At 42.6% G+C, this 13821-nt stretch overlaps 1 protein-coding gene across 2 annotated transcripts in view; it reads left to right on the top strand.

Moving 5' to 3' along the window:
* MYO10 (myosin X) overlaps window positions 1–13821 on the top strand; it is a 274382-nt gene that overhangs the window by 150042 nt on the left and 110519 nt on the right. For both annotated transcript variants that reach the window (XM_006714475.4, NM_012334.3), the window contains exons 5-9: window positions 2778–2912; window positions 4418–4542; window positions 5506–5519; window positions 5639–5723; window positions 6599–6702. In XM_006714475.4, coding sequence (XP_006714538.1) covers window positions 2778–2912; window positions 4418–4542; window positions 5506–5519; window positions 5639–5723; window positions 6599–6702 — 463 coding nt within the window. The remainder of the gene's footprint in view (window positions 1–2777; window positions 2913–4417; window positions 4543–5505; window positions 5520–5638; window positions 5724–6598; window positions 6703–13821) is intronic.

Raw genomic sequence — 13821 nt, 5'->3', positions numbered from 1 at the left:
TATCTTCTCCATAATTGTATTTTTGCCATATTCGGTGAGCCAAGGTAGGCTGGCTGCTATGACAGACAGCCATCAAATCTTAGGGGTGTAACACAGGGATGGTCTATTTCTTGCTCCTCTCCGGCCCCTGGTGGGTAGGGGAGGGACTCGAGTCTACTCTGTAGGCTTCTTTGCTTGGGAGATGTACCATCTCTGAGGACACTTAGGTGGCAAGCGGAAGGTGGAGCCCAGAGGACTGTGAAGGGGGTTTTTAGCTACCAGGCATAGAAGTGGCTGATAGCCCCATGGCTCAGTTGTTCAACTGGCTACACTTGGTCCCCTTGTTACTGCCTGCCTGCCGGGTTTTTTGTTTTTTTGTTTTTTTTAATTATTTTTTTGAGATGGAGTCTGGCTCTGTTGCCCAGGCTGGAATGCAGTGGTGTGATCTCCATTCACTGCAACCTCCACCTCCCAGGTTCAAGTGATTCTTCTGCCTCAGCCTCCCATGTAGCTGGGATTACAGACGTGCGCCACCACGCCCGGCTAATTTTTGTATTTTGAGTAGAGACAGGGTTTCACCATGTTAGCCAGGCTGGTCTCAAACTTCTGACCTCAAGTAATCCACCCGCCTCAGCCTCCCATGGTGCTGGGATTACAGGCGCAAGCCACAGTGCCCGGCCTCTGCCTGCTGTTTTTACTGCAAGGGAGTCTAAATGTTTTCGGCTTCTGTGTGCCCGAGGATAAAGAGGTAGGTTGAGGAACACATAACATTGTTTCGGCCTCACCATTTTCACTAGACAACTTAACCTTCTAGTTTTTGTTTTAATAACTCAGCCACCAACAGCTGTCGCGTCAATATAGATATGTTTTAAATATGGAAGATGATTTAAATCGTTCCTTGAAACTGTCTCTCTTGGTTTCTGTGAGTCATTCTGTGCACTGTTGTTGAATGCCTCCCCCGTGCCAGGCACTGGGCCGAGCAGATGCCAGTTATTCAATGTATGCTAAGCTCTGTACTGGGAAGATTCTGGTGGCTGGTAAGGGAAACCCCAACTAAAGGTGGCCTAATTTATGCTGCCTTTTACTATTTCAGACTACATGAGGCAGGGCAGTTTCAGGGATGTGGATTCAGCCCCCGCCCCGGCTGGGCTTGCCTCTGATTTTCTTGGCTTTTGCTTTATGATTTCAAGACAGGTTTAGATCGTCAGATCTTTGTTGTCTGCCGCAAAAGGGACATTTCCGCCCAGTGTCGTGTGTGTGCGCGCAAACCTCCCCTAGGAGCCCACAGTACCCTTGACATTACGACATTATGTCTTTGTGGAATCGTGACACTGGCCCCTGCCCAGGCCTGTCGCTAGCAGAGCAGGTGAAAGGACTGTGGTTGTCTAGACCAGTGGAGATCCCTGGGACCCCTGCACCCAGCCCGGCATGTTGGCGTCATCTCTGAGTCATTTCTTCTCTTTTATTACATGCAATTGATTCACATTTTTAGCAAAATTCCTCTTTCTTGATAACGTCCCAGCTCTTGGTACTCCACAGGACTTCTCTTTAGAACGCAAAAGGGGCTCATCTGCCCATCCCACCATTCAGCGGTTGTCAGCGTGCTGCCTCGTGATGGCGTTTGTATGGCTGTGCTCTTGCTTATCCCTTCAGTTTACCTTTCTTGTAAGTTTCCAGCCTCTTTGCTACTTCTGTTCTCTGCACAACACCAAGCATGGTGCCATATGCCAGATGGATGGGGTTTCTCCGTTCAAGTCTCTCTCATGTCCGTATCTTCCTCTCCGTCTCCAGCCTTGTTAACTGTGTTTGGGACCTGGCCACCGCGGGCCTAAACAACGGCAGCAGCTGGTCTCCCGAGGGACCCTTCGGTCCTTCTAGAGCTTTTCCTCCAGAGCTGCGTTTCCTACAGGTGGCCTTGATGAGGTCATCACCACCCTCCAGCTCCTGCACTTGCCTCTGAAGCATCCAGCTGAACCTCAGCTCATCTTCTCTGCCGCCTTTCGTCTCAGCCCAGCTGACCTAACCAGACCTGGATCTCATTCTCCCATAAGAATCTTTCCCAGCTTCTGTGGTTTCTGTGCTTTCTTGGCCTGACTCATGTTTGCTGGTCTTTTAAGGCATAACTCATCCCTTATTTACTTCTGTCCTTTGCCTCCCTTCCCTCTGGATTTTTTGTTCACTTGTCCTTAACTATCACTAACACGTGACCTTGGCAGGACTTTGGATCAGGCCGAGCTGGCATTAAGAGTCCAACTCGGACACTCAGCCATGCTTCCCTCATGGGATTATTGTGGGAATAACATGAGTTAGTGTGGGTTGTGTACCCGCAGGTTCATTGCCTTGTCCCCTCAGTATTACTCATGAATGATTGCATTTTTATTCATGTGTACCTGCTTTAAGTTTCTCAGAAAGATCATGTTAGTGAGCTCATGCATTTAACCAAACGTTTACACAGTGGAGGTGTTTGGGATGAACTAGTGAACAAAATGAAGATCCCTCTTTCCCAGAGCTTACCTTCCCTGTGAGGCACCATACATCTTATGACCTTTCCTTAGGAAAAGGTAGTTCTATTTGCCTCATTTGCCAAAAGAGGCGAGTAAGGCCAGACACAATGTGGCCAGCAGGAGAAAGGACTTTTGCTTTCTTTTAACTCAGCTCTTTGGAAACAGGCATTTTGATCTCCCTCTTCCCACCTTTCTACCATTGTTCTGTTGAGTAATTATAGTGCCATTGACCAAAGCTGATTTTTTTTTAAAAATTATAGTTAGAAGCACAAACTTTTCCGTTTTGTCTTTCAGTGGTGAAAGTGGGGCAGGTAAAACCGAAAGCACTAAATTGATCCTCAAGTTTCTGTCAGTCATCAGTCAACAGTCTTTGGAATTGTCCTTAAAGGAGAAGACATCCTGTGTTGAACGAGCTATTCTTGAAAGCAGGTATTTATTGATTTTCTTGTTTCCAACTAATAGGATTCACTTTCCTTATGGTATGGCTTATTTAAAGAAGAGTTAAAATTAGTTGGTCGCGTTTCTCTTTTTCTTGACTTCTCTTTTACAATTCCTTAAGAAAAGGTCTTGCCATGCACATAGTAATATCTCATGAACCCAGCAACAACTCCTTCTGCCTCCTGCCCCTTCATCGTCAGGCCAGGTCTGAGATGGGGACTGAGTGGCGCGCAATGGCTGTCTGCAGAGCCTTTGACTCCAGCTTCATGTGTTTTTGAAGCACCTGCATCAGATAAGGCACTTGTATTGGAGTTTATGGAGAAGAATAAACTTGACTAGTTTTCTGGAGGCCTTGTTAGCAGCAGAAATGTCAGCCCCCAGCCACTGTGTAAAAGGGGGCTTAGCGTGGAGACGAGCAGGGTTCAGGTCAGCATCCACCGCTTGGAGGCTTAACATGAGCAGAACGGGCCTCTCGTGTGTGGAAGATGAGTGATGCATTCTATATAACAGGGAGCCTCAAAACTTAGAAAGAGGGCTAGGTGTCACCCGAGTTGTTGTATAAACTATGTCATTGCCTGATAGATGGTTTGTGCCTTATAAGACTTTAGAACCGGTAGGGACTTTATACACCCTATTATTTAGAGATTTGTCCAGGGGTCGGCAAACCACAGCCTCGTGCCCATATCTTGCAGCCTGTTTTTGTTTTTTGTTTTTTAGCATGTAAACACACCATTTAAAATCGTGGTAAAATATACCTAGCACTAAATGTGTGTTAACTGTTTTTCAGTGTACGGCGCAGTGGCGTTGGCATTAAGTACATTCATGTTTGTTATGCAACCATTGCTGCCATCTGTCTCCAAAACTTCATCTTCCTCCTGTAATCTGTTTTTATAAATAAAGTTTTATTGGAACCCAGCCACACTCATGAGTAGTGTTTACAGCTGCTTTTAGGCTATAGTGGCAGAGCTGAGTAGTTGCAACCGAGATCCCGTGGTCTGCAAAGCCTAAAATACTTACTGTCTGGTCCTTTCCAGAAAAAGTTTGCCGGCCCCTGATCTAGTCAGACTCCATCTTACACTTGGAAAAGACCCAAAGAAATTAAATGAGTTGCCCCCGGGACATACAACAAATAGGTGAAATTTCCAGGACTGGAACTTCTTCAGTTTCTAGAATTGGGGTGGGCTTTTTCTGTGCAGTCCCTGGATTGTGCATGTAAGGCCACACTCACTGGTGCAGGAACGAGCCATTGCGGTCCCCTTAACTGTGTGGCATCCCTTGGCAGCACAGCTACGCTCACTAAGATGGATATGCAGATAAGCCCATTTCAACAAGCATTTTGAAAATCTGGCTCTTCCGGAAATAAACATTGCCACCCTCAGTCCTTTTGGTTTCAGATTTTTCTTGCAGTTGTATATTTTGACATTTGTGAGAAGTGCTATTGCTGTCTTCAGACCCACCCTTATTAATGCTGTCTGCTGCCCTCACTGTCTTCACAGCCCCATCATGGAAGCTTTCGGCAATGCGAAGACCGTGTACAACAACAACTCTAGTCGCTTTGGGAAGTTTGTTCAGCTGAACATCTGTCAGAAAGGAAATATTCAGGGCGGGAGAATTGTAGATTGTATCCTCTTTCATTTATTTTTATCTATAGTAATTGATTCTCTAAGTGGAAACTGTTCTCACTAATTATAAGGATTGAAAAAGAATGTGAAACATTTCTTTCTCTGGTTCTTTAACGAATTAGACAGTTAGTTATTGCTCTAATGTTAGTATACCTGTTAATTTTTTCTATGAGATGGACATGGTACATGTGCCTATAGTTACAGCTACTTGGGAGGCTGAGGCAGGAGGATTGCTTGAGCTCAAGAGTTAGAGGCCAGCCTGAGCAACATAGCAAGACCCTGTCTCTTAAAAAAATAAAATAATTTTTAAAAATTATTCTGTGCGGCCAGGCGCAGTGGCTCATGCCTGTAATCCCAGCACTGTGGGAGGCCAAGGTGGTCAGATCACTTGAGGTCAGGAGTTTGAGACCAGCCCGGCCAACATGGTGAAACCCCACCGATACTAAAAATACAAAAATTAGCCAGGCTTGGTGGCGTGTGCCTGTATTCCCAGCTACTTGGGAGGCTGAGACAGGAGAATCGCTTGAACCCAGGTAGCAGAGGTTGCAGTGAGCCGAGATCGTGCCACTGCACTCCAGCCTGGGCGAGAGAGCGAGACACTGTGTTAAAAAAAAAAAAAAAAAATTCTGTGAAATAAAGAACCGTATTTGTTTTATAAATCTCTGATATAATTTCCATAATCTGAAACATTGACTTCATCATTAAACTTCAGGTATTTGTTTGAAATCAACTGTGTCAGTTAGTTTGGTACCTGACAGGGTACCATGTGTCAGGCCTGGAATTAGATTTAGATGAAATAGTCTATACTTTGTTTGCTTGTCTGTTGGCACTGGAAGCTTCTATGTCAAAGGAACAGGGAACTGTAATTATTTGAGCACCAAAGAATAGAAAATGAAAGACTAGTTGAGCATGGCACATAGCTTTGTTTTTTTCCTTGACTTGCCATTGCTTTTCACATGAAGATTTATTAGAAAAAGTAAGTAAACGTGATTTAATCCACATTTTCTTCCATAATAACAATTTTCAGAAATTATTGGTTTGTGTGAATTAAGCACAGGACACATCTCTGAATATAAATCTGATTTATCTTCCCAGAACCGAGTAGTAAGGCAAAATCCCGGGGAAAGGAATTATCACATATTTTATGCACTGCTGGCAGGGCTGGAACATGAAGAAAGAGGTGAGTGGGACGACAGCTGGATAATGTGGACTAGCAACTCATTTTCCATTTAAATAGATGTCAGTAAATGAGAGAACATCTGTTTTAATGTTGACATTTCACCGATAGCAATGAAATGTACACTATGCGAACACCAAAAAGATGCTGAATTTACAGTAGGGAGAAATAATAGGGAGAAAATTATCAGTAGAGAAACCTTAGATTTTTTTTTTTGAGTCTTGGTACATTTTTAATGTAAAGGATGTTTATTAAAAATACATATTACAGCTGGTTTCACTTTTCAGCCACCCTGAATAAAGTTAATTTCTAAATATTTGATTTTTGGCTGGGTGCAGTGGCACACACCTGTAATCCCAGTACTCTGGGAGGCCAAGCAGACGGATCACTGGAGATCAGGAGTTCAAGACCAGCCAGGCCAATATGGTGAAACTCCGTCTCTACTAAAAACACAAAAATTAGCCAGGCATGGTGGTTCGTGCCTGTAATTCCAGCTACTCAGGAGGCTGAGGCAGGAGAATCGCTTGAACCCGGGAGGCAGAAGTTGCGGTGAGCTGAGATTGTGCCACTGCACTCCAGCCTGGGTGACAGAGCTAGACTCTGTTTCATTAAAAAGAAAAAAGAAAGATTTTTTAAGAGAAAACAAACAGGATCCTCATCAGTTGTTCTTTCAGTAACATTTTTTAAATAATCTCATTTAGTTTCAGTAATTGTTTTCTATTTTCCCTAGATGGTAACTAAGAGGGAACTTTATTATCTTTATGGGAGACTGTTAAGAGCACAGAATTATATATATATACTTTAAAAAGTCAGAGTGAAAACTCTGAATTTCATCTTGTCCTGGAGAACTGTGACATCATGTTTTTGTCTTTCTGTAGAAGAATTTTATTTATCTACGCCAGAAAACTACCACTACTTGAATCAGTCTGGATGTGTAGAAGACAAGACAATCAGTGACCAGGAATCCTTTAGGGAAGTTATTGTAAGTTACTTTTAAATGTTTTCCCTATTAAGATATCAGATACCTTATTAAGAGTAACAGATTTCATTTTCGGTTTCAAAAGATTTTTTTAAATAGAAATAGAAGTAATTCCATTTGGACCAGTGGGTGAGAACAGGTATTTCCTTCTTGTTCCAAGTCATGAACTTGTTCCAAGTTCTAGGCTGAAAGGGGTTTGAGGACTCTTCTTTCCTTAGAAGATGAGCGAATGTGTCATTCAGGGCAGATGGGCAGTTTACTTGGGACAGTGTGTTCAGAAAGTGTACCTTCCACCCCCAAAAAACCCCCCAAATCATGGGCTTCACTCTGGAACCAGCAGATCCTCCATTTTGGGGCTTACAAGTAAGATTTCTTTGAAAAACAAATTCTATAGCTAATAACAAATCTGCCAGCCATTGGCCCAGGTGACTGTTGTTGCAGAATTTTGCTCCTTTGTTCAGCTAAAACCTGGGGTCTTGTCACACGATCAGGAAAACTTAGGCACAGGGACACGTTGAAGGGTGAGTAGAGCAGGGTTTTATTGGGTGAAAGGAAGATGGCCAGGCGCGGTGGCTCATGCCTATAATCCCAGCACTTTGGGAGGCCAAGGCGGGCAGATCACGAGGTCAGGAGATTGAGACCATCCTGGCTAACACGGTGAAACCCCGTCTCCACTAAAAATACAAACAATTAGCCGGGCGTGGTGGCGGGCGCCTATAGTCCCAGCTACTCGGGAGGCTGAGGCAGGAGAATGGCGTGAACCCGGGAGGCGGAGCTTGCAGTGAGCCGAGATCGCGCAACTGCACTCCAGCCTGGGAGACAGCGAGACTCCGTCTCAAAAAAAAAAAAAAAAAAAAAACCTCAGCAAAGCGAGAGGTGTTCCTGCTAACAGGCCCCCACCTCACATGTTGATTTCCAGGTCACTACAGGAGCGGAAGAGAGCAGGCTTCTCTTCCCCGTGGAAGAATTCCCCGTGGCCCCACCCACTTCCCCCAGTGCGTACGTCAGGCTCCAGTTCACTGTGGGATGCCCAGACAAGCCCTGGGCAGGTTCCCTCATCGACCCAAAAGCATCTAATGTAAACATTCTTGGGACGCTTGGAGATTCTCCAGGGACCCCATTTTATCTGCCTAAGCATTTGGCTGTCTCATGTTAAGGTATCATCCAGCCCTCGTGGCTTGTGATGGCCATTTCTGGTTGCGTGAGCATTAGTCATCCTGTCTCTGCATTGTGGCATGCCATGGTCTCTTGCAAGGGCTTTGTTACAAGGTATCTGCATTTAAGATAGCCCAGTCATCGAGCGTTGCGAACAGCCCCACCCAATCGGGCCTGGCCAGGAGATTTCATCACTGTGATCTTAAGTTCTTTACCAGAGCCCTTATTAGAACAGTTAGATGCAGCCGGGCACGGTGGCTCATGCCTGTAATCCCAGCACTTTGGGAGGGTGAGGCAGGCGGATCACGAGGTCAGGAGTTCAAGACCAGCCTGGCCAACATAGTGAAACCCCGTCACTGCTAAAAACACACAAAAAATTAGCTGGATATGGTGGCGGGCGACTGCAGTCCCAGCTACTTAGGAGCCTGAGGCAGGAGAATCGCTTGAACCTGGGAGGCGGAGGTTGCAGTGAGCTGAGATCACGCCTTTGCACTCCAGCCTTGTGACAGTGCAAGACTCCGTCTCAAAAAAAAAAAAAAAAAAAAAAAAAAAAGTTAGATGCAATGCACCTAGGGTGGCGTCATTATCATTCTAATCATCACAAATGCAGCTGACATTTAGTGAGCACTTACTGTTATGAACTTCACATGGAGTTTACTTTCCAATCACTCTCATCAACCCTCTGATGGTAGGAAGTATGGTTGTCTCCATTCTAAGACTCAGAGAAGTTAGTGACCAGCCTAACCTTACCCAGTACCTGGTGCAGCCCATATCCATACACAGTCTAACTCTGGATCCCACACTCTAAACCGCGATGCAGTAATACCTGGTTTCAGTGCACCTCAGATTCGTCCTCCTAGGCTGCCGCTGGAAGACTAGCAGCTCTTCATTCTGTTTTCCTTTTCATTGTCATAGATTATTTGTTACAACTGTCTGTGGAATGAAATCAGAATATTTTTAACAAATGGATATAAATCATGCATCATTTCTCTATGGCTAACATGTGTCTCCTTAAGTTGAAAATGAAATTCCAAACGGACTAGGCTATATACATGATTGTTTTCCACTCTGCCTCCCTTTTAAAGATGTCACAACCTGCCATTTATAATGCAGAGCGGTTTCTCGCTCCATCTCTCCTATTTTCTAACCTGTTAACAAAAACCCTCCTGCAGACAGCACCTTTTGGCATCTGCCTGCGGAGGTGTGGGATTTGGCCTTGCACGTTGGGTTTTATGCAGTGTTTTTCTAAGTATTTTAATTATCTTTTCCAATTTTATATTGGCCCTTTAGACCTCTCACTACTCAAACCTTCCATCACGGTTCATTTATTACTGTCTGCTGAAAAGATGATGTGTTAGAATAAATTCTCATTCTCGTTTTTGAGGAGCAGGGCAAAAAAAAAAGACTTGTCTCTGGCTTTTTTCCTATTTTATTTCTTGTTTCTTTCTTGAAGTAACGAACAATAATTTGTGATAAAAGAATACAGACAAGACACCTGATTATCCACATGGCAGTGTCACTGCAGGTCCCATCACCTGCGAGCTCGCTTGTTGGCCGCTAGGGAGCACTTGGCAGTGGCAGCTCCCTTGTCCTGGGAAGGCCCTGAGAAATCAGATACTCCGTTGGTACTCTGTGTTCTCTCGGGACATCATTTTCCACTTCAGAACTGTCTGTTCTTTTTGTCAGCTACAAGTAAACTTTTGGAACTTGGCTTCCCTTCAGTGATTGCTAGCTTTTATTGCTACATTGAAATAATAGGTCTTGGCATTTGAAATTTGATTTTATGACAAAAGGATATGTCAATCACCTAGAAAGGAAGAGAAATTTATACATGAAATTGACATAATGAGCATACCTAACAAATTTATTCTAGTTAATACATTCTACTTATAAAAGATATTTATAGATCCTTAAATATCTAATTTGCAATTACTTTTTAGTGTTAGTCTAGCAGGTGTATCAATGAAAACTTAGCTGATGTTTATTAATATCACAAACATGACATTTTTGCTATAATAATAGCAAAATTTAACCCGTTACTCTTTAACCTTGTACTGGAAATTCTAAGCAGTGCAGCAAAAAGAAAAAGAAAAAAAAAAGTGTAACTTTTGGGAAAGAGGGAGGAAAATATATTCCTTTCTATATACAATAAGATTTTCTTCTCCCAAACCTATGAGAATCAAGAATTGGGGGATAGGCGGGGTACAGTGGCTCATGTCTGTAATGTCAGCACTTTGGGAGGCTGAGGTGGGCAGATCACTTGAGCACAGGAGTTCAAGACCAGCCTGGGCAACATGGCAAAAACCCATCTCTACAAAAAAATACAAAAATTAGCCGGGTGTAGTGGCACACACGTGTAAACCCAGCTACTTGGGAGGCTGAGGTGGGAGGATGGCTTGAGTCTGGGAGATGGAGGTTACAGTGAGCCGAGATTATGTCACTGCACTCCAGCCTGGGCGACAGGGCCAGGCCCCATCTCAAAAATAAAAAAATTAGAAAAAGAATTGGGTCATGCCTATAATTCCAGCACTTTGGGAGGCTGAGGCTATGGATCACGAGGTCTGGAGTTCAAGACCAGCCTGGCCAACATAGTGAAACCCCATCTGTACTAAAAATACAAAAATTAGCTGGGCGTGGTGGCACGTGCCTGTAGTCCCAGCTACTCAGGAGGCTGAGACAGGAGAATTGCTTGAACCTGGGAGGTGGAGGTTGCAGTGAGCTGAGATCGCGCCACTGCACTCCAGCCTGGGCGACAGAGCAAGACTCTGTCTCGAGAAAACAAACAAACAAACAAACAAACAAAATTGGCCAGGCATTGTGGTGTACCTGTAGTCCTAGCTACCTTGGAGGTGTGAGGATTACCTGAGCCCAGGGAGTTCGAGGCTGTAGTGAGCCATGATCATGCCATTGCACTGCAGCCTGGATGACAGAGTAAGACCCTGTCTCAAAAACAAAAAACATGATTCTTTTTATCAACTTTAATGTTAGTGTATTCTGGCAATAGGACCTTTTAAGAATTTTGCTTATTTCATTGAGAATTTGCCTTAATGTATTTTTAAAATTTATCATTGGTCGCAATAAACATTAATATAAAAAAGTACCTATGAGGTATTCTGAACAGTTTTAGGAGCGTCTTGGTTTTTCCTGGGGCAGAGGCAATGAACCTATGCTAAATTTCATAGGCATTTCTTATACAGCCCTTCAAATTGCCCCTTAAAGTGTTAGGTCAGGATGAAAAGCTATTTCAAGTCAGTAGTAACAACTGGTTTATTTTATTGCTTGCATTTGGCCCACCAGGTTGGTGGCTGATGAAATGTGTATGAAGTAACAGGAGTCTTTGCTGAGTGATCATCTGTTTATTCTTTTACTCCACAAATATCGAATGTTTACAGCGTGCCTGGCACTGAGCAGGGCTGGGGTTTCCTGACCATATGGACCTTCCTGGGTATATCTGTGGGGCTTGAATGGTGTGTGACCTTGTGTACGCATGCGTGAATTCATTTGTCATGAGTCAGATTTTATTAAAATTTAAAGGACCAACTTTTTACTTTCATGTTGTGAAACTTGGAAATGTCAGTCTCTTTCAGTGTTGGAAAACTTGGGTGGTCAGCCAATTTTATATTATAAAGTATTTTTAAAATAATATAATATTACTTGATAAAACATAACATTGGCCGGGCACGGTGGCTCACGCCTGTAATCCCAGCACTTTGGGAGGCCGAGGCAGGCAGATCATGAGGTCAGGAGATCGAGACCATCCTGGCTAACACAGTGAAACCCCGTCTCTACTAAAAATACACAAAATTAGCCGGGTGTGGTGGTGGGCGCCTGTAGTCCCAGCTACTCGGGAGCCTGAGGCAGGAGAATGGCGTGAACCCAGGAGGCAGAGCTTGCATTGAGCTGAGATTGCACCGTTGCACTCCAGCCTGGGCAACAGAGTGAGACTCCGTCTCAAAAAAATAAATTAAAAAAATAAATAAATAAGTAACATGATGTAATAAATTATTACTGAGTTACTTACTTGTAATTTACTGTGCCCAAAATAGCCTCCCCTGTCACCCTTTCAGACACACCATTTGTTGACTTCTTCTGGAGGTACCTTCTCTGAGGGTGACACTCCTCCCTTTGTTTCCAGGGTGACAAGCTGAGCTCCTTTTGTGCATGATGATTGGGACTCTGCCGTGTATTCGCCACCATCCCCCAACACACATTCACGTTCACAAGCATCTGTTTTTTATGTGCTGAATCATAGAATTTCCCATGGTTTTTTCAGTCTTGAAGCCTAGTGTTGAAATACTAATTATAATAAGCCTTGAAGTGGCTACTCTTGTCAAAGGGGTGGAGATTGCTTATTAACAAAGATTGTAAATAGGAGAGTAAGAAACAATAAATAGAGACTCTTGCTGGAGTTTTAGCATACATGTCTGCATTGGCGAGAACTGGTTTTAGACATTAAATTATTCCATGTTATGATTAATGCAGTTGCCGCTTATCACAACACTACTAACTACTTGCCCAATCACTTAGAGTTAGACTAGAAAGCAAAGAAGTCCACAAATTTATTAATATAGTAAACACATTTGTTCATTTGCTTACATATCTTCTTATACAACCTTTGTATTTTTTTTTAGAACTTAACCAAAAATTTTTATTTATGGGATATGTGTCAATATTTTTTATTTGGCAGTTAGAAATTTTCTACTACTTATTTCACTTTTTTTTTTTTTTTTTGAGACAAGGTCTCACTCTGTTGCCCAGGCTGGAGCACAGTGGTGTGATAATGGCTCTCTGCACCCTTGAACTCCTGGGATCAGATGATCCTCCTGCCCTAGCCTCCCAAGTAGCTGGGAGTACAGGTGTATGCCAGCACACTAGGCGAATTTTTAATTTTTTTTAGAAATGGGGTTCTTGCTATGTTGCCAGGCTAAAAAATGATTATATATTAGTTATGAATATATCTTGTCATAGATGAAGAAAACTTTAATCATAGAAAGGGAAAAATTTAACTTTTGCACAGTGTAGGTGCATTATAATTATTTTGCTGATATCTGATATGGTCTTTAACACAGTTTAAAAAGTCTTGAGAATAACAAATTATTTGTATTTCTTAACCGTATTTCTTTGCTTTTACCTTTTAGAAGAAATCACTGATAAATATCTTTAAATTTGAATAATTATTTTCTCATAGGCTTTTTAAAATTGATAAGCACTTGGCAAATAGTTCTTATTCTTTGTTTCTGTTTGTATGCATGAAATGATAGCCTTCCCACCTTCAAGTAATTTATGGTATTTTAATTTTTATAATCAACTTTATTGAGATATAATGAACACATAATTAAATACGTCCATTTAAAGTATACATTTCAGTGAATTTTGAATTTACACACCCATTTATCCACAACTGTGATCAAGATAAAAGGGAATCCTCTGCCCCAAAAGTTTCTCTGTGCCCCTTCCCAGGCAATCCCAACCCCCCCACACCTGGCCCTAGGAAACTACTGATCTAATTTAGTCCCTCTGGTATACGGTTATCTTCTTTAGAGTTCCATGTAACTAAAATATGCACTATGTAGTGTCCTGTATCCAGCTTCCTCCAGCCATCCATGTGGCACGTATCACTATTCACTGCTTTTTTTGGTATTCCGTTGAATAGACAGCAGTTTGTTTATCCATTCACCCATTGATTGTCTCATTTTTTGTTGTAAAAGTATTTATTGCCAGCAACATTAAAAGACATGATAGAATAGAATGTTCATGAGCTTGCCAGCACTGTTAACTCACAGTTAACCCTTAACAGTAACTATTGGAACTAGTTTCAAATTTGTAAATTTTCTTCCCAGACTGCATTTTAAAAATAATATAGGTACAAAATAGCTTTTTTGCTTTTTTACAAAAAGCTACTGTAAATATAACTGTGCCTCTATATCATGTGCATAATTTTCTTTAAAAAGTATACCATAGGCTGGG

Source organism: Homo sapiens, chromosome 5 (assembly GCF_000001405.40).
Source record: "Homo sapiens chromosome 5, GRCh38.p14 Primary Assembly".
Classification (NCBI taxonomy): Eukaryota; Metazoa; Chordata; class Mammalia; order Primates; family Hominidae; genus Homo; species Homo sapiens.
The sequence above is the reverse complement of the archived record's forward strand: the minus strand, read 5'-3'. Positions and strand labels throughout refer to the sequence as shown.